The sequence below is a fragment of the Homo sapiens genome, chromosome 3 (genome assembly GCF_000001405.40).
Source record: "Homo sapiens chromosome 3, GRCh38.p14 Primary Assembly".
Lineage (NCBI taxonomy): Eukaryota > Metazoa > Chordata > Mammalia > Primates > Hominidae > Homo > Homo sapiens.
In genome coordinates this window covers 183145722-183165249 of record NC_000003.12, presented here as the reverse complement: position 1 = coordinate 183165249, position 19528 = coordinate 183145722, and the positions used below count along the sequence as shown (strand labels likewise).

Below are 19528 nucleotides of genomic sequence, written 5' to 3'. Positions count from 1 at the left end.
AAAGTGCTGGGATTACAGGCGTGAGCCACTGCGCCCGGCTATGTGCTTAAAATCCTAGACTCTCAAGGCAGACAAGATTTATGGTCAGGTTTCGGTATTTATTATCTAAGTGACTCTGGGCAACTCCCTTCTTTGTGCTTAGTTTCTCCATCTGCGAAATGGGGCAGCGATAATAACAACAGTGTCCATATAGAGTGGCTATGGCGCTTAAATGGAATAAGAAGAGTGCCTGGCACACAGTCTATACCCACTTAATTATCGTCTTTTGAATAAACTGTCTCAAAGATCAGAAAGCAGGTAGTTGCTGAAACTAGGTTGACTGGCACAAGTTAACCCTCACTTTTCACCATAAAAATTCCATTCTGAAACACACTGCAAGCTTTGGTTAAGTTTACTTGATTAGTGTTTGGAGCAACATAGTAAGACAAAATAGTTGTAGCCAAAGTTATTTTTCAGAAAATAATTTGAGGCTAGGCTGAAAGCCCTCAATCTAGTGATAAGGAGGGTCTCCTAATATACTGCTTAAATGTGTATTCCCCACTGGGACTCAAGCCCTGTCAAAACATCGTTGTTTTGACAGACAATCCAATTAATAGAGGAAGGAGATAAGACATTAAAAGGTTGCCTGTCAGCGTTGTTGAGCCGTGGGCCGTGGCTTACGCCTGTAATCCCAATGGTTGGCTAACGCAGGAGGATCATTTGAGGCCAGGAACTCGAGACCAGCCTGGGCAACACAGCGAGACCTCCTCTCTACATAAAATAAAATAAAATAGCTGGGCGTGGTGGCACGCGCCTTTGGTCCCAGCTACTCAGGAGGCTAAGGTGGGAGACTCACTTGAGGCCAGGAGGTCGAAGTTGCAGTGAGCCGAGATCACGCCACTGCACTCCAGCCTGGGTGATAGAGCGAGACCCTGACTCCAAAAAAAAAAAAAAAACGATATTGTGTGTTTTTTGTTCCAGGATTTTCTGGTCTGTAAAACCACCTGGGGCCAGGCACAGTGGCTCACGCTTGTAATCCCAGATCTTTGGAAGGCCGAGGCGGGCGGATCACCTGGGGTCAGGAGTTTGAGACCAGCTTGGCCAACACGGTGAAACCTGGTCTCTACTAAAAATACAAAAAATTAGCCGGACGTGGTGGCGCACATCTGTAATCCCAGCTACTGTGGAGGCTGAGGCAGGAGAATCGCCTGAACCCAAGTTTGCAGTGAGCCGAGATCACGCCATTGCCCTCCAGCCTGGGCGACAGAGTGAGACCCTGTCTCAAAAACAAAAACAAAAACAAACAAACAAAAACAAAGAAAGAAAAAGAAAAAAGAAAATAAAAAAACACACTGGGAGTGGGCATTATTATGTCCGTTTTACAGCTGAAGAATCCAAGGCTCCTAGAGGTTCCCCGACGCCGCACGCCGGGGAGTCGGCAGCGCGAGCTCCCAGCCAGACCTAGCGCCTCTGGGCTGTGCTCCTGTTGCTTCCCGCAAACCGCGGTCCTGGCGAGGCCTGGGCGTGGAGCGCGGCTGCCGCAGACTCCCTGGGAAGACATGGAGTCAGGGTGCTTAGGGGTTTTTAGGCTCCTGCTCGCCTAGTGGCTGGCTTTCTCCCGGCTGAGAAGCGTCTCTGGGTTCCCAGAAAGGTACCCGAGCTGTTAGAAAAGAGGAGACCCTGGGCCGGGCGCAGTGGCTCACGCCTGTAATCCCAACACTTTGGGAGGCCGAGGCGGGCGGATCACAAGGTCAGGAGATCGAGACCAGCCTGGCCAACAGGGTGAAACCCCGTCTCTACTAAAATACAAAAATTAGCTGGGCGTGGTGGCGGGCGCCTGTAACCCCAGCTACTCGGGAGGCTGCGGCAGGAGAATCGCTTGAACCAGGGCAGTGAGCCGAGATCCCGCCACTGCACTCCAGCCTGGCGACAGAGCGAGACTTTGTCTCAAAAAACAAAACAAAACAAAACAAAACAAAAGAAATAAAAAGAAAAGAAATAAAAGAGGAGACCCTGGCCGGGCTCGGTGGCTCACGTCTATAATCCCAGCACTTTGGGAGGTCGAGGCGGGCGAATCACGAGGTCAGGAGCTCGAGACCAGCCTGGCCAATATGGTGACACCCCGTCTCTACTAAAAATACAAAAATTAGCCGGGTGTGGTGGTGCATGCCTGTAATCCCAGCTACTCGGGAGGCTGAGGCAGAAGAATCGCTTGAACCCGGGAGGCAGAGGTTGTAGTGAGCCGAGATCGCGCCACTGCACTCCACCCTGGGCGACAGAGCGAGACTTCGTCTCAAAAAGAAAAGAAAAAGAAAGGAGGAGACCCAGGGTATGAGCGGAGGAGGCCGGCGCTGCCGGGACCACGCGCGTGCGGTAAACGGTCCCAGAGGCCCGGGCCCCGGCGGCTGCGCCGAGTCCCCGCCCCTCCCTGCTCCGTAGGGGTAGGAGGGGGCCGGCGGAGTTTCCCTCCCCGCCCAGCGGCCCTGGGCGGGCTTTTCGGCTGCTTCTCATAAGCAGGTGGTTTCGTTTCTCCGGCACAGGTAGGTTTCTCTGGCACCGATTCGGGGCCTGCCCGGACTTCGCCGCACGCTGCAGAACCTCGCCCAGCGCCCACCATGCCCCGGCAGCTCAGCGCGGCGGCCGCGCTCTTCGCGTCCCTGGCCGGTGAGTGGCCCTCAGCGCTTCCCGCGGTGGCCCTGACGTGTCGGTCCCCTTTCATCTAAACGCACTCTGGAGTCCCGGGCGCCACAGGACGGGCTGCGGGTAGGGAGGTGTGGCGCGTCCAAGGGCTTCCCAGCTGGAACTTGTTTTCCGTGAGTTACTCAGAGCAGGTGTCAACCCCAAAGACAGTGACACTGTCCCTCGCTTCCAAAAGGGTTCTGGACACCTTCTCAGGGAGAGTTTGTAGAGGTCACTCGGATTTAAGAGATGGAGACCTGAGCTAGGGTTTAGGAATGGGAGTCTTGGCTTTGTTATCCGGGAAAAGCGCTCCTGTCTTGCTTTTCCTTGCATCAGATGTGGTCTGACAGATTGTGCCATTTCAGAAAGGTGTAGGAAGAGTGTCAAAGACTTTTTTTTTTTTAAATGATCATTGTACTTCCCATCCCAGATGCCGTCTGGGACGCTGAGTTTATGATTATTTTATGATCCGACCCTCCGCTTTCTCCAGAGCTTTTCCCCCTAGACATTGAGTCCTCGGGTGCTGTGGTGTTGTCCCTGTGATGAAGTTTCCTGGTTACTCGAACGTCATGAGAGAACTGTCTCCGTCCCTACCGCCCGGCTAACATGCTCAAGCAGGGGGCGCGGTGGCCCTTGCTTGTAACATGAATGCTAGGAATGTTAGGGAAGAGGTGAGAAGGGTCGTGCCAGCTGCCCTTGCCTAGGCAGTTCTCCCCTGCGCCACACTTTCACACTTACAGTTTCAGGTTCTTTTAGGGGACAGAAGAGGAAGTCATCATCACGCTCCACAGGGCAAGCTATTAAAAAAGCAAAACAATCTCAGCCTAGCGGTAACCCACAGTGACCTGTATGTGAGCGCTCCTTGAATGGATGGATAGGCTCAGAAACACAATGGTATTGACAGGCCAGGCGTGGTGGCTCACACCTGCAATCCCAGCACTTTGGGAGGCTGAGGCCGGCGGATCACTTGAGGTCAGGAGTTCGAGACTAGCCTGGCCACCGGTGAAACCCCGCCTCTACTAAAAATACAGAAATTAGCCGGGCATGGTTGTGGGCGCCTGTAATCCCAGGTACTCGGGAGACTGAGGCAGGAGAATCACTTGAACCCAAGAGGCGGAGGTTGCAGTAAGCCAAGATCATGCCACTGCACTCCAACCTAGGTAACAGTGAGACTCTGTCTCAAAAAAAATAAATAAATAAAAATAAAAATACAGTGAGTATTGACAAATGCAAGGGCAAGTGGAGAGAAAATGCCCACATTACCGGTTCCTTTCTGAGCTACAAATTCTCAGAGGTGAGCTAGGTGAAGGATGCATCAGAGGTTTCTTCCTCAGAGGTGGAGGCCTTTGAGGGGTGGCACGGAACTGGATTCAAACCCTTGCCCTGACCCTTCCCAGCAGGGAGGCCTTGTTCACATCACCCAACCTTTCGGGTGCTCAGTTCCCTCACTGAAAAATGGGGAGAATAATATCCTCTGCTAGGAGTACTGGGGAAACAAATGAGGTAGCACCTGGACAGCAATTACTGCAGTGATTTTGCTCAGTGATGTTAACTCGTATCTCCTGTTTGTCCCTCCAGTCCCTCTCCCATTCACCTCACAACCTGACCTTGAGCCCCTTCTTCACTCAGTACAGGGCTCATCAGCACATGGTAATTAACAATGATGGACATGGCTTCCTGGCACTCTCTGCATGCCAGGCACTGTTCGCAGTGCTTTAATCCACAAAACAGCTTTGTAAGTACTGCTATTGTCTCCGTTTTACTTGCGAGGAAATAGAAGCACAAAGAGGTTAAATAACTTGCCCCTGATCACATAGCTAGCTGGTGACAGAGTCGAGCTTTGAACCAGAGTCTGTGCCCATAGCAGCTAACCTATGTGCTTTACTCATACATCTACTTACCTATAACTTATTTAGTCTCATAAGAACCCTGAAAAGTAGGTGCTATTCTTATCCCTATTTTACAGATGGCGGTACTGAGGCAGAGGCAGGTTAAGGAATTGTTCATGGTCTCCCAGTTAGTGAGTAGCATTCCTGAGACTGGCATTCAAGACATCTGGCCTTGGCTGGGCACAGTGACTCACACCTGTAATCCCAGCACTTTGGGATCCTGAGGTGGAAGGTCGCTTGAGGCCAGGAGTTTGAGACCAGCCTGGACAACATAGTGGACTGTGTCTCAAACAAAACAAAACAAAAACGAAGTCTGGCCTTGGGGTTCAGGCTCTACGCTACTGTGCTACATGATCCTGCATGCATAGGCTCAAGAAATCCTTGTTGAATTGGAAATGAGCAAAAATCATCAGAAAGTTTTGCTAGGAGAGACGGAGCTTTTGGGTAAACTCTCTGAGTAATCTTTACCCAGTCAACTTGCTTCCCTGATCTCAAATTTTTCCTCCAGAAAATGAGGGGATTTAAGTTCACGTCAGTTAAGTTTAGGTTCAGTTACACGTAAGACACAAGCCAAAATAACAGTAGATTAAACAAGATAGTTGCTTGTTACTCTTTCATGTGAAAACATGTCCAGAGAAATTCAGGTCAGTTCTAGTGTGGGAGTGCTTCACTGGAGATCCGTCATTAGGATCCGACATATAGGTATGTGACTTCTACCCTCAAGGCCTCCTCACGGTTCCACATGTTGGCTGGAGCTCCAGCCATCACATACAAGTTGCAGGTTGGTCAAAGGAGGAAAAACAGAAGGGCTGTAGAAAGGCAGTCCACACAGGTGATTGAGCTGCCTTCACCCAGCCTTCCCAGAAGGCCCACATGATCTTAACACTTCCCTTCTTTTGCTAAAACTCAGTCATATGCTCCCACCCAGCTAGAAAGGAGGTTTAGACATAGAACTCTTTATTCCAGGCAACAAGTGCTCAGCTGAAACTTGAGGTACTGTTAGAAAGAAGGGGAGACTGGGTTTTGGAATAGTCAGCCAGCAGTCTGTCACAGGGATAGTGGCCCTTCTGCTCTAGGATTTCCTTGACTCTCTCTGCTGCACCCTGCTGGGGCTGCTTCTGCTGCCCCTAGAGGTGCCAGAAAACATGCTGGGGGCTAAACTGTGATTCCCTGAACCTGGACATGGCCGTGGGGCTCCAATGACTCCCTGACTGTGCTCCTCAGAGCTCTGCAGACAGTGTGTAGTCTCCAAGGCCTGCCAGGCCTGCTCCCTGCTGGTCTCCCCTCCTCACCCCTCCCTTCCCATACCGTCCCTGTGTTCCCGTCATGCTGACCCCTTGCTGTTCTCCAGACATACAAGACTTCTGAAGCCTCTGCGCCCTTACACATTCTCTTCCTCCTGTCTGGAAACCATCTCCTCCTTTGTCTGCCTGAAGAATTTATCCTTGTGTTGGATTCCCACCCTACCCACACTCTCATAGTATCTGGGGATTTGATAAAGACACTTGTCAGTCGGGCACAGTGGCCAATGCCTGTAATCCCAGCACTTTGGGAGTCTGAGGTAGGCAGATCACTTAATCCTAGGAGTTTGAAACCAGACTGGGCAACATGGTGAGACTGTACAAAAAATGCAAAAATTAGCTTGACATGGTGGCACATGCCTGTAGTCGCAGCTACTGGAAAGGCTGAGGTGGGAGGATCGCTTGAACCCAGGAAGCTGAGGCTACAGTGAGCCCTGAGCATGCCACTGCACTCCATCCTGGGTGACAGAGTGAGACCCTGTCTCAAGGAGAAAAAAAAAACAAAAACAAAGACAAAAAAAAACACTTGTCACACTGAGAAGTGTGGTTTACTCATGTGTCTGCCTCACAGGGCCCCTGAGAACAAAGACCTACCCCCAGTGCCTGGTACAGAGCCTGCCTGAGAGGAGACCCGTACATACTGTTGAGTGGTGTGGCAGGGAAACCAACCAAAGGCTGTCTGGGAAGGGACTGGCTGTCAGGAAAATACCTAGAAACAATCCCTTGTGAGATCACTGACTTTCTCAGGGGACTGGGCAATGACTCATCTCACACCCACTGGTTGTAGGGGAACCAAAACCTTCTAACGCCTCTTCATGCAAATTTCCATCTAGTGGAGTCCAAGCAATGGATCAAGGCCCTGGGGTGCTTGTTTGCCAAGTCTCCTGAATTTTGGAGAGGGGAGGCTGGGGTGGGGTGGGGTGGGGGTGGGCAGATGAGTGTGTGAACACCAGCACTATGTTCTGTGTATAGAGGGAGGGTCCAGACAAAGTCTGGGCTATGCCTGCCCTTGCTTCTGCCCACTGCCCTCTTTCTAGGCCTCAGACAAACCTGTGACCTTGACTAAACCTCTATAGGGCCAAACATCCCATTTAAAAACTGTGACCCAATTTCGACAGAAATCAGTCATATATGTGTGGTCGTATACATAGACCATGTGTGTGGTCATATACATTATAGAGTAGCTCTCATGGTCTTTCTGAGCTACTTTACAATGCAGAGATACCTACCCCAGTTGAATCACCTGCCTATCTTTTATACCCCACACAGGGAGAAGAGGAGAGTGGGAAGGGCCAGAGGAGGGAAGGAGAAGGGGTGAGAACTATACTTCTCTGACAGGTTCAATCTCCAACACCCATGAACTTGGCACTTTTGGTTGAGCCATTTGCCAGCCCAGCCTTCTGTCTACCACCCAGAGACACACCTACACCTACACACCGTATCAAGACATCTCAACTGCCATCACCTCTAGCCACCCCACCAAGGCTTCCTACATAGGAAGCACACCTTGACCGGGTACCACATATCTTCTTGGCTTGTTTAGGATGCCGTTCATTTGTGAACAATTAAGTCCTTTTTTTATTTATTTGAGTTCATTCATTACCACTGAGAGAAGAGTTCTAGTTGCATCTTGAGGAAGGCTTTTTTTGTTTTTTTTAAGGGTGCACTACTGAGTTTAGGAAACTGAACTCAGTTGAGAAGATTCTCTTTAGCTTATAAACACCAGCCATACACAGTAGGATTTTATCAAGGATATAATCACTTCCCCAAGAGAACAACTGGCAAGTGTTTTCTAGTCTCCTGGAGGTCTCTGTAGCAATCTTTACTTTTCACCACGAGATATTCCTGGAAGCCACAGTTGAGAGTGAATTCTCTTTCTCCATTGTAATAGTATGAATCTAATGGGGCTTTCGTTGGTGTTTGACCAGAGAACCAGCAACGCGGGTTTTACCCAAATGAATTGCTAAAATAAATCTTCAACAACACTCAACCTCCATTATAATCTCAAAGTGAAAAATCTTTCTCCAAGCTCCATGACATGGGCATAAAAGTTCTACGTGCAGGGATTTTACAAAAGTTTGTAGGTAAACCTATAGCCCATCAAACCTACCACTCTCAAGTATCATGCATTTAACTTATCCAAATGGATATTTTCGATTTAAAAAAAAGACCCTTAAAGAATGATCTCAAATAACTTAATGTCATTAATAGTCATCGGTCTTTTTATAAGGTTATCAAGGCAATTTGAACTGGTGCTTTGGTCTTTCCTATTTTGCAAACCAGCTGTACAGAAATAATTCACAGGTCTTACTACTGGGCTTAAAGTTAGAACTTTTCTTCTGGAAAATAATCCCCTTTTCAGCACATGAACTTTTGAAACCCTCACCAAGGATCATCATTATGAGGTTTTCATGAATTGGGGTCACTGGAGGGCACCCTCCTGTTCCTCTCTCCTCTGCTTTTGTGTCTTCTCTCACCATTCTTCCCAGCGACACCCCACCTCCACCACCCCTCAAACCCAAGGGCAAGCTTTGATTCAGATGTACCGGTGCTCAAGTCTCCGCCCCAACTTTGACCAGTTGTGTCATTATGGTCAAATGGCTGAAATTTTCCAAGCCTGAGTTTCCTCATTTGAAAGATGGATAAAGTAGTACCCACCAAAGTGTTTTTGAGAGAAGTTGGTAAAAGATGACCCTTGACCTAAGGCCTTCTATGTAGTAAGTGTCCAGTAACTTGGAATTTTTATTGTTATTAATATGAGAAAAGTAACCACTTAGAAGTGTATTGAATGGTGGAGGGAGATAGAAAAGGCATATATGAATTATTTTTACTGGGTATGAACTTTAGGACTTTGTAAATACTAGCATAGCGTGATCTCCTTTCCCTTTCTCAGCCCAGCACAGGACAGCTCCAGCTCTCCTGAGAGTCTGTGGGTAAACACTGAGAAACCACAAAATTGAAGGGACGCAGGCATCTCTCAGTGTGCCTGACCACAGACTCCTAAAGACATCGTCTGTTTGTTGTTGTTGTTGTTGTTTTTGAGACAGCGTTTTGCTTTTATTGCCCAGGCTAGAGTGCAATGGCATGATCTCAACTCACTGCAACCTCAGCCTCCCGGGTTCAAGCTATTCTCTTGCCTCAGCCTTCCAAGTAGCTGGGATTACAGGCACTGTGTCACCATGCCCAGCTAATTTTTCTATTTTTAGTAGAGGTGGGATTTCACCATGTTAGCCAGGCTGGTCTTGAACTCCTGACCTCAGGTGATCTGCCCACGTTGGCCTCCCAAAGTGTTGGGATTACAGGCGTGAGCCACCGCGCCCGGCCCAACATCTGTGTTTTGTCCACTTTTCTGGATCCCTATGTGCCTGGAAGGAGGCAAGGATAGACCTGTTCTAGTTGGAAAAGAACGGAGGACCTCTGCCCTTAAGGACAGCCTCTGGAGAGAACCTGTGACAACAGTAGACACCGTCTGTGTGCTTAATGGTCCATGAAGAGTTTTACTTAAACCAACTCATGTGAGCCTTACAATAATCCTAAAAGGCCTACAATGCTGTTGTCCTCATTAACACATTCTGTCATTTTTTCGTTCGACCCATATTTACTGAACACTGTCTATGTGCAGGCACTGACGGTAAAAATGGTACACACAGTTTCCACCTTCACGGTGCTCTTAATCTACTAGGAAAGTTCCACAACCAACAAATAAACCAATAAGCAAACATTTAATCAGGGAAAATATTTGGCTGGTACATACTGGCCAGGCTGATTGTTAAATATTTGAATACCATCCCCATATATACTTACAAGTTGTAATTAATGCAGTGAAAGCAATGAATTTAACACTGCAGTGGAGAATCATGGATATGGGGAACTATTTTATATAAGGAGGACAAGGAAGATGCTCTGAGGAGCTGCCATGAAAGCCAGAACACAAAGGACAACCCACCTGAAATATCAGAGCAGTTATGACTTCTCTTTCTTGGTTGAGAAAGACTGGGCCACTCCAAAAGTTAAGTACGAAAATGACAGGAATTGGTCTGTATTGAGAAAACAACAAGTGACAAGATAAAAAATGGAAAGGACTGTATTGTGAAGAGATGAGTCTCCTGTCATTGGGAACAGTTAAGTCTAGATTGGATGAACGCATGGCAAAGATCTGTAGGTGTAATTCAAACATCAGATTAGGGTTTGGGGTGGGGCACGGTGGCTCACGCCTATAATCCCAGCACTTTGAAAGGCTGAGGCAGGCGGATCACAAGATGAGTTTGAGACCAGCCTGGACAACATGGTGAAACCCCATCTCTACTAAAAATACAAAAATTAGCCGGGCGTGGTGGCAGGTGCCTTTAATCCCAGCTACTCACGAGGCTGAGGCTGGAGAATCGCTTGAACCCAGGAGGCAGAGGTTGCAGTGAGCCGAGATTGTGCCACTGTACTCCAGCCTGAGCAACAGAGCAAGACTCTGTCTCAAAAAAGAAAAAAAAGATTGGAGTTTGGACTAGATGACTTTTAAGACCCCTTTCAAACCTGGGATTATATGATTCTGTGAAAACTGTGTAACTCTGTAAATCTTTATTACCATCATTCATGCTGCCCCAGCTCTATCAGGTCATACAGCAGCTGTTCACCCAGGAACACTATTTTATGTCAGCTGTCCGGATCCACATTTGAAGGTGGAGAATGAAGAGGCATTGACACTTAGATATCTAGCTGAGCATGATCACTTTGGCGTGTATTAGTACCACACCTCACACAGGCAAAGGGGCTGGGTGCTGTGGAACTGTCATAACCCTGTAAAAGGCATGGATACAACCAGAACATTACAATTGTGTCCTGGGGGTAGAATCTTTGGTGATGTTTGCTTCATTGTTGTACCCTTGCAAATTTCCCCCAAGTATAAAAATATGCATGTTAGGTTTTTTTATGAACAGACATTAAGATGGGGATGGGAGAGGGAACCTTGTAAGCAATCGGTTAGTGTTTTTAACACTTTTATTTCCTAATTTTCAGTAATTTTGCACGATGGCAGTCAAATGAGAGCAAAAGCATTTCCAGAAACCAGAGATTATTCTCAACCTACTGCAGCAGCAACAGTACAGGACATAAAAAAACCTGTCCAGCAACCAGCTAAGCAAGCACCTCACCAAACTTTAGCAGCAAGATTCATGGATGGTCATATCACCTTTCAAACAGCGGCCACAGTAAAAATTCCAACAACTACCCCAGCGACTACAAAAAACACTGCAACCACCAGCCCAATTACCTACACCCTGGTCACAACCCAGGCCACACCCAACAACTCACACACAGCTCCTCCAGTTACTGAAGTTACAGTCGGCCCTAGCTTAGCCCCTTATTCACTGCCACCCACCATCACCCCACCAGCTCATACAACTGGAACCAGTTCATCAACCGTCAGCCACACAACTGGGAACACCACTCAACCCAGTAACCAGACCACCCTTCCAGCAACTTTATCGATAGCACTGCACAAAAGCACAACCGGTCAGAAGCCTGTTCAACCCACCCATGCCCCAGGAACAACGGCAGCTGCCCACAATACCACCCGCACAGCTGCACCTGCCTCCACGGTTCCTGGGCCCACCCTTGCACCTCAGCCATCGTCAGTCAAGACTGGAATTTATCAGGTTCTAAACGGAAGCAGACTCTGTATAAAAGCAGAGATGGGGATACAGCTGATTGTTCAAGACAAGGAGTCGGTAAGTTGGGGCCACAGGACTATAACACTATCTTCAAAAAGTCTGAGTGGAGGTTGCCTTGCTAGGAATGAGCATTCCCCACATCCTGTGTCTTTAAATGAAACCAATAGCTGTGAGCTCATCTCTCTCCAAGGTGCTCCATTAAAAGGTGATTATGTTTTAGGATATACATGAAAATAGAAACTAATAGCAACTGTTTGGAGAGAGGAAGGCAAACAAAACTTTAAATATTCACACACCTCACTTTTAGCCAACATGGGCAGAGTGTCGTAGAATGTTCAGCGTTGATCTCAGCCCCTCCCTCCCACTCCAGAAGACTTAAAAGCCTCATATCCTTTCCCGTGAAATGAGAGATTTAAGTCAGATGGTCTCTATGGTTCCGGGCAGTTTTGACATTAATGTGGAAATCCACATGAACAAGAAAACCGAGGGAGAGGGATTGCGATTATTTGATATACTAAAGGAATCACTAAAACAATATTTTCTTTCTTTTTTTTTTTTTTTTTTGAGACGGAGTCTCGCTCTGTTGCTCAGGCTGGAGTGTAGTGGCACAGTCTTGGCTCACTGCAACCTCCACCTCCCTGGTTCAAGCGATTCTCCTGCCTCAGCCTCCTGAGTAGCTGGGATTACAGGCACCTGCCATCACACCCGGCTAATTTTTGTATTTTTAGTAGAGACGGGGTTTCACTAAGTTGGCCAGGCTGGTCTCGAACTCCTGACCTCATGATCTGCCCGCCTTGGCCTCCCAAAGTGCTGGGATTACAGGCATGAGCCACCATGCCCGGCCAATAATATTTTCTCTTTCTGCAAACTTTAATGATTTCAAATAAAACTTCCACATCTAGGTTGCCATTTGAGACAGAGGTACCTTACAGAGCAAACCCTTCCCTCTAGTATCATTTAACATGTTTAACTTAACATAAATTCCATGCAGCTTATCAGGAACATACCTGCCATCAATTATTTACAAAAGAACTCCTCTCTGTGGGAGAACTCCTCTTTAAGAAAGCTTTTGAACATAACAGTTTGAAAACGAGAGGTGTTGTCTGGGGACTTTGCAGTTCTCCAGCGAATCCTCAGCCTTAAGTTTCAGGCTCACAAACTAGCCTGTGCATCTGGTTCCCTAGCTAGAGTTTTCCTCTACATCTCATTTAGCTGATCTATCTAACTTGATTTAGGTTTTTTCACCTCGGAGATACTTCAACATCGACCCCAACGCAACGCAAGCCTCTGGGAACTGTGGCACCCGAAAATCCAACCTTCTGTTGAATTTTCAGGGCGGATTTGTGAATCTCACATTTACCAAGGTGAGGCCTGAGCTCCTTTGCACAAACTGCATCTGGTACAGCTTTCCCTCTCCCTCATCCTGGGGCCAGGTGGTGCAACCCCACACTTCAGTTTGAGATCTTTGCTGATAAGAATGAGGGGTTTGGGGATGGAGAGGAGGAAGTGTCAACATCTTATGTTTGTCTTCTTCCCCCTTCAGCCTCCTTCTGTGCAGCCCAAAAAGGGCTTCAGGGCCTCTTATGGGAGACTTGACCTCTGGGGAACGTAACCACCCGTGCCCTTTGCAAACCAGCCAAAGGAGGAAGTTGTGCAGATGAATAAACCTGTAGAAATTCCCAGTGGGCCCCAGAGGAACAGGATTATTCGGAGGAACAGGATTATTCTAAAACCGAAATCAAATGTCAGAACAGGTTCTTTCCAACCACAGCAGGCAAAATTCAGGGCCAGAGCAGGCTCTGGGTTTCCCAGACCATACCCTGGAAGGGACAGACAGGGAAGTGATGTGGACAGAGCAGTCATAGATCGAGGTCAGAGAGTCTCACTGCGGATTTGGCTCTGTTGCTTTCTCTCCTTGTGACACTGGGCAGGCAACTTAACCTGTTTGGTCTTTAGCATTTGAAAAATGGAGGAAAGGACTTAGAGATTGCCTCTGTAAAGAGCATGCCCCAGCTGGGTGCGGTGGCTCACACCTGTAATCCCAGCACTTTGGGAGGCTGAGGCGGGCAGATCACCTGAGGTCAGGAGTTCGAGACCAGCCTGGCCAACATGGTGAAAGCCCGTCTCTACTGAAATATAAAATATTAGCCGGGCATGGTGGCGGGCGCCTGTAATCCCAGCTACTTGGGAGGCTGAGGCAGGAGAATCACTTGAACCGGGGAGGTGGAGGTTGCAGTGAGCCGAGATTGCGCCATTGCACTCCAGCCTGGGCAACAGGAACAAAACTCCATCTCAAAAAAAAAAAAAAAAAAAAGAGCATGCCCCATACACGGGAAGTGGCGGATGCTCAAGAGCCAGCAGCTGCAATTGCAGTGATTGAAACAGGCAAATGTCTTGCAGACCAGAGGGGGCTGGTCATCCCACTCCCCTGGGAGAGACTTGCCCCCGCTTGCCTCAGAGTGTCCTTCAAATAGCCCCAGTAAGAGCTGAGGAGGAGGCACTGAGAGACCCCTTGCAGCTGGGATTAGCTGCATGATCTCAGGGGAGTTGGGGCTTGTTTCCCAATCTGTAAAATGGAAATAATTACATCTACTTAGTAGGACCCTTGGGAGGATTAGAAATGGGGTATGTAAACTGTCTAGCACAGTAGATAACAATGTTCAGTGAAGAGTGGCGGTTATGATTGTCATTATTAACTTGATCACAAAGACTTTATTCTCCTGGAGCATACAAGGTAGAGTTGCGCTTGAGAAGTCAGTGGTTTCCTTTTGGGACCAAGTGGGAAAGACACAATCCTTCATATGTCAACCGTCACACAAAATGGGAAGACATTCAGGGTAGAGTAACTGCTCTATCCCTGGAAAATTGAAGTTAAACTATAGAGATGACAAGAATTTCTTTAAAAGTCCCTGGGCTGGATACAGTGGCTCAAGAATCACTCGAGGCCAGGAGTTTGAGACCAGCCTGGGAAATATATAGCAAGACCCTGTCTTTACCAAAGAAAACAAAATAAAATTAGCTGGGCATGGTAGCACATGCTTGTAGCCCTAGCTACTCAGGAGGCTAAGGTGGGAAGATTGCTTGAATTGCTTGAGTCCAGGAGGTTGAGGCTGCAGTGAGCAATGATTCAATGATTGCACCACTGCTCTCCAAAAAAAAAAAAAAAAAAAAAAGTCACTTTGGCAAAATAGCAGAAGATACAGACATAAACATTTATGCTTTGGTTCAGGGCTCAGTTCCACCCAGACCCAGACCCACTGCCCACTGCCCATGTGACTCATTGACTAATGGAAGGCATCAATAAACTCCAGCATTTGTGGCACACAAGGGCAGCTGCCATCAGGCCTTAGGCAGACCTGCAAACAGAGATTTCTTTGACACTTTCAACCTCTCTTTATGTTACTTTCTTCTGTCTGCTGATGCTCCAACCCTGCCTTTCCTATTCCTTCGGGCTGGATTCTGACCAAACTCCACCCAAGTGTTGAGTCCCTGCCTTTCTGAAAATCCTTTGAGCTCCCAAATTACCTCTTCCTCCAAGGGTAGGGGCAGGAAATGAGTGTCCAGAAAGAGCCAGAAGCATCAGCAGGTCGTCCTCCCCTCCCTCCATTCACCCAGCTTCAGGAAGGGGCAAAGTGAGCCACTCTCAGCCCATGGCCCCGAGTGTTGCAATAGCTGCTTTGCTTGAGTTTCACCAGCCACATGTTCCTTATTCATTCCATTCCCCATCACAAATTCCCAAAGTAGCTGACCTTCGCCGGGAGGTAGGCAGAGAGGCTCACAGAAGGTAAAAATTCCCACTGGCCTTAGTTATCCCAGGAACTTACGCATTTACTTTTTATTAAATTTATTTTGATTTTTTATTTTATTTTTAAATGTTTGTGGGTACATAGTAGGTGTATATATTTATGGGGTACATGAGATATTTTGATATAGGCATGCAATGTGTAATAATCACATCAGGGTAAATGGGTTATTCATCACCTCAAGCATTTATCCTTTGTGTTACAAAAAATCTAAATATACTCTCAGTTATTTTAAAATGTACAATAAATTATTTTTGACTTCAGTCACTCTATTGTGCTATCAAGTATCAGATCTTATTCATTCTGTGTGTGTGTGTGTGTGTGTATACATATATATATATATATATATATATATATATATTTTTTTTTTTTTTTTTTTTTTTTTTTTTTTGAGTTGGAGTCTCGCTCTGTCACCCAGGCTGGAGTGCAGTGGTGCGATCTCGGCTCACTGCAACCTCCGCCTCTCAGGTTCAAGTGATTTCCCTGCCTCAGCCTCCCAAGTAGCTGGGACTACACTACAGCCACGCACCACCACGCCTGGCTAATTTTTGTATTTTTAGTAGAGACGGGGTCTCACCACGTTGGCCAGGATGGTCTCGATCTCTTGACCTCGTGATCCGCCCCCCTGAGCCTCCCAAAGTGCTGGGATTACAGGCGTGAGCCACCGTGCCCAGCCCATTCTGTCTATATTTTTTTTACCCATTAACCATCCCCTTTTCCCCCACCCCACCCATTACCCTTTCCAGCCTCTGGTAACCATCATTCTACTCTCTATCTCCATGAGTTCAGTTATTTTAATTTTTAATTTCCACAAATAAGTGAGAAGGTACAAAGTTTGTCTTTCTGTGCCTGGCTTATTTCACTTCACATGATGACCTCCGGTTGCATCCAGGTTGTTACAGATGACTGGATCTCATTCTTTTTTACAGCTGAATAGTACTCTATTGTGTACATGTACCATGTTTTCTTTATCCATTCATATGTTGATGGCCACTTGGGTTGCCTGCAAACCTTAGCTGTTGTGAACAGTGCTAGAATGGATGTGGGAGAGCAGATCGCTTCGATATACTGATTTTCTTTCTTTGGGGTATATATCTAGCAGTTGGATTGCAAGATCATATGGTGGCTCTGTTTTTAGTTTTTTGAGGATCCAAACTTTTCTCCATCTTGGTTCTACTAATTTACATTCTCACCAGCAGTGTATGAGGGTTCCCTTTTCTCCACATCCTCACCAGCATTTGTTATTGCCTATCTTTTGGATAAGAGCCATTTTCACTGGGGTGAGATGACATCTCATTGTAGTTTTGATTTGCATTTCTCTTATGATCAGTGGTGTTGAGCACCTTTTCATAGACCTGTATGCCATTTTATGTCTTCTTTTGAGAAATGTCTGTTCAGATCTTTTGCATTTAATTTTTTTAATCAAATTATTAGATTTTTAAAATCAAATTATTAGATATTTTACTGTTGAGTTGTTTGAGCTTCTTCTATGTTCTGGTTGTTAATCCCTTGTCGGATGGATGGTTTGCAAACGTTTTCTCTCATTCTGTGGGTTGTCTCTTCACTTTGTTGATTGTTTCCTTTGCTGTGCAGAAGCATTTTAACTTGATGTAATCCCATTTGTCCAGTTTTGTTTTGGTTGCCTGTGGTTTGGCGTATTACTCAAGGAATCTTTGCCCAGACCAACGTCCTGGAGAGTTTCCCAGTGATTTCTTTTAGTGGTTTCAAAGTTTGATGCCTTAGATTTAAGTCCTTAATCCATTTTGATGTGATTGCTGTACATTGCAAGAGATAGGAGTCTAGTTTCATTGTTCTGCATATAGATACCCAGTTTTCCTAGCACCATTTATTGAAGACACTGTCCTTTCCTCAATGTATGTTCTTGGCACCTTTGAATTTCTGCATTTTAAAAAAGAACTTGGCTGGAGTGGTGACTCACACCTGTAATCCCAGGACTGTCAGAAGCCAAGGTGGAATGATTGCATGAACCCGGGAGTTTGAGATCAGCCTGGGCAACATAGCAAGACCCTATCTCTACAAAAAATTTAAAAATTAGCTAGCCATGGTGACGTGTACCTGTGGTCCCAGCTACCACATGCAAGCTGAGGTGGGATGATTGCTTGAGCCTAAGAGGTCAAGGCTGCAATGAGCTATGATTGTGCCGTTGCACTCCAGCCTGGGTGATAGAGTGAGACTCCGTTTCTAAAAGACATCAATCAATAAGAGCTTGTTTAAGCCAAAACAGGGACCCTGAATTCAAGAATTACAGGTGCTAGGCATATAACCTAATGAGCAAAGCAAGCTAGTAAAAAAAAAAAAATTGTTTTCATTGAAACAAGCAGTCCTAAATTTTTATTTTACCAGTTTTGATGAAGATCAAAATATGTCTTCATCAAAAATTAAAGACAAGAAAGATTTCAATTCCCATTCAATCTAATAAGAAAAATATTAAAGTAAGCACAAAGTAATGAAGCAACTGAGAAGGACTCAGAAATTGGGAGACAAAAGGGAGGGACAGGAGAGTGCTCATCTCCCTAGGAGTTAGCTCTGCAGATGGTGCAAATGGCAGGGCTGGTGTCTAGCCCCGGGGATTATCAGTGTCTTTTATGGCATTTATTTGGGATGGTCCAATGTCCATTCTCAGTGACTTCCCTTCTGTGCCAGTTGTTCAATATTTTTTTTTTCTTTGTTTTTAGACGGGGTCTCACTCTGTTGCCCAGGCTGGAGTGCAGTGACACGATCTTGGCTCACTGCAACCTCCGCCTCTTGGGTTCAAGCGATTCTCTTGCCTCAGTCCCCCGAGTAGCTGGGACTACAGGTGCATGCCACCACGCCCGGCTAATTTTTTGTATTTTTAGTAGAGATGGGGTTTCACCATGTTAGCCAGGATGGTCTCGATCTCCTGACCTCGTGATCCACCTGCCTCGGCCTCCCAAAGTGCTGGAATAACAGGCACAGTTGCTCAATATTTTACATGTCCCCTCAATCAGGTGGTAAGGAGAGGGTGGTATTGCCAGATCTTCTGATTGTTCCAGATAAGGCAGAAATCTAGATCTTTCCAGAAAAGCACTTTTTTTAATGTTGGCAACACATTTTTAAAAATTTGAGGGCCGGGCACAGTGGCTCACACCTGTAATCCCAGCACTTTGGGAGGCCGAGGTGGGTGGATCACCTGAGGCCAAGAGTTCAAGACCAGCCTGGCCAACATGGCAAGACCCTGTCTCTACTAAAAATACAAAAATTAGCTGGACGTGGTGGCGCATTCCTGTAATCCCAGCTACTAGGGAGGCTGAGGCAGGAGAATCGCTTGAACCCAGGAGACGGAAGTTGCAGTGAGCCGAGATTGTGCCATTGCACTCCAGCCTGGGCAACAAGAGCAAAACTCTGTCTCAAAAAAAAAAAAAAAAAAAAAATTTGAGCACCATGCTGGCCAAAAAACATACAACTGAAGGCCAGATTTGGCCTGTGGATTCTGACCCTGTGACTTCTGCCCTAATGGGTGTATTGTATGAAGTGTATTTAGGTAAGAAAGCCTTCTAGATTTTTCCAAAAGAGAAATGGACTCAACCATTCAGTCAGTCGCTTTTGAAATGTTGCTGCTTTCTAAACCAGCACTTCTCAACAGCAACAGTATTAACATTTGAGGCCAGATAAGTCTTTGTGTGGGGACTACCTTGTGCCTTGAAAAATGCTCAGCAGCATTTCTGGCCTCTATCTCCAAGATGTCAGGAGCAACTGCCCACCCCAGTCTGACAACTCAAAATGTCTCCAGACATTGTCAAATGTCTCCTAGGAGGCAAAAATCATGTGCAGTTGAAAACCACAGCTCTAGAGAAAAAGAGAACCTTAGAAAATGTGAGTTTATTCATTATAATATAATAGATGTTATGAGAGCTAAGTTGTAGAATGATAAATGGATGTTGATTAGGCCTGATTTATCAACTCGTTTATTAGTAAGAATTTACTGAGCACCTACTTTGTCCCTAACAATGAGCTTGGCTATGAAAGAAAAATAACAGAAATATAGGCTATAGTTCCCGCTTTCAATCTGTAGGGTTTTGTTTGTTTGTTTGTTTTTGAGACCAGGTTTTGCTCTTGTCGCCCAGGCTGGAGTGCAATGACATGATTTCGGCTCACTGCAAACTCTGCCTCCTGGGTTCAAGTGATTCTCCTGCCTCAGCCTCTCGAGTAGCTGGGATTACAGGTGTGCACCA

General features: G+C 46.5%; 1 protein-coding gene across 4 annotated transcripts in view, besides 4 other annotated features; it reads left to right on the top strand.

The window, feature by feature from the left end:
- The first annotated feature begins 1436 nt into the window (after positions 1 to 1436).
- The window catches only part of LAMP3 (lysosomal associated membrane protein 3), a 41599-nt gene continuing 23507 nt past the window's right edge, over positions 1437 to 19528 (top strand). For 3 of the 4 annotated variants that reach the window (NM_014398.4, XM_047447967.1, XM_011512688.3), the window contains exons 1-3: positions 2516 to 2643; positions 10859 to 11568; positions 12747 to 12875. In NM_014398.4, the coding sequence (NP_055213.2) occupies positions 2595 to 2643; positions 10859 to 11568; positions 12747 to 12875 (888 nt within the window). In that variant the 5' untranslated portion in view covers positions 2516 to 2594. Of the gene's footprint in view, positions 1631 to 2515; positions 2644 to 10858; positions 11569 to 12746; positions 12876 to 19528 lie in introns of those variants that run through there. The other variant, XM_005247360.6, reaches the window with a different exon arrangement.
- Positions 2306 to 2515: a silencer, noted in NCBI's record as "silent region_14936". NCBI's record gives its function as "represses an Ori minimal core promoter by ATAC-STARR-seq in GM12878 lymphoblastoid cells {active_cell/tissue: GM12878}" and the evidence as "EXISTENCE:reporter gene assay evidence [ECO:0000049][PMID:35858748]".
- Positions 3128 to 3337: an enhancer, noted in NCBI's record as "active region_20886". NCBI's record gives its function as "activates an Ori minimal core promoter by ATAC-STARR-seq in GM12878 lymphoblastoid cells {active_cell/tissue: GM12878}" and the evidence as "EXISTENCE:reporter gene assay evidence [ECO:0000049][PMID:35858748]".
- Positions 5250 to 5749: an enhancer, noted in NCBI's record as "H3K4me1 hESC enhancer chr3:182877289-182877788 (GRCh37/hg19 assembly coordinates)". NCBI's record gives its function as "activates a minimal SCP1, AML or CMV promoter by ChIP-STARR-seq in naive H9 embryonic stem cells {active_cell/tissue: H9 hESC(naive)}" and the evidence as "EXISTENCE:reporter gene assay evidence [ECO:0000049][PMID:30033119]".
- Positions 6450 to 6739: an enhancer, noted in NCBI's record as "active region_20885". NCBI's record gives its function as "activates an Ori minimal core promoter by ATAC-STARR-seq in GM12878 lymphoblastoid cells {active_cell/tissue: GM12878}" and the evidence as "EXISTENCE:reporter gene assay evidence [ECO:0000049][PMID:35858748]".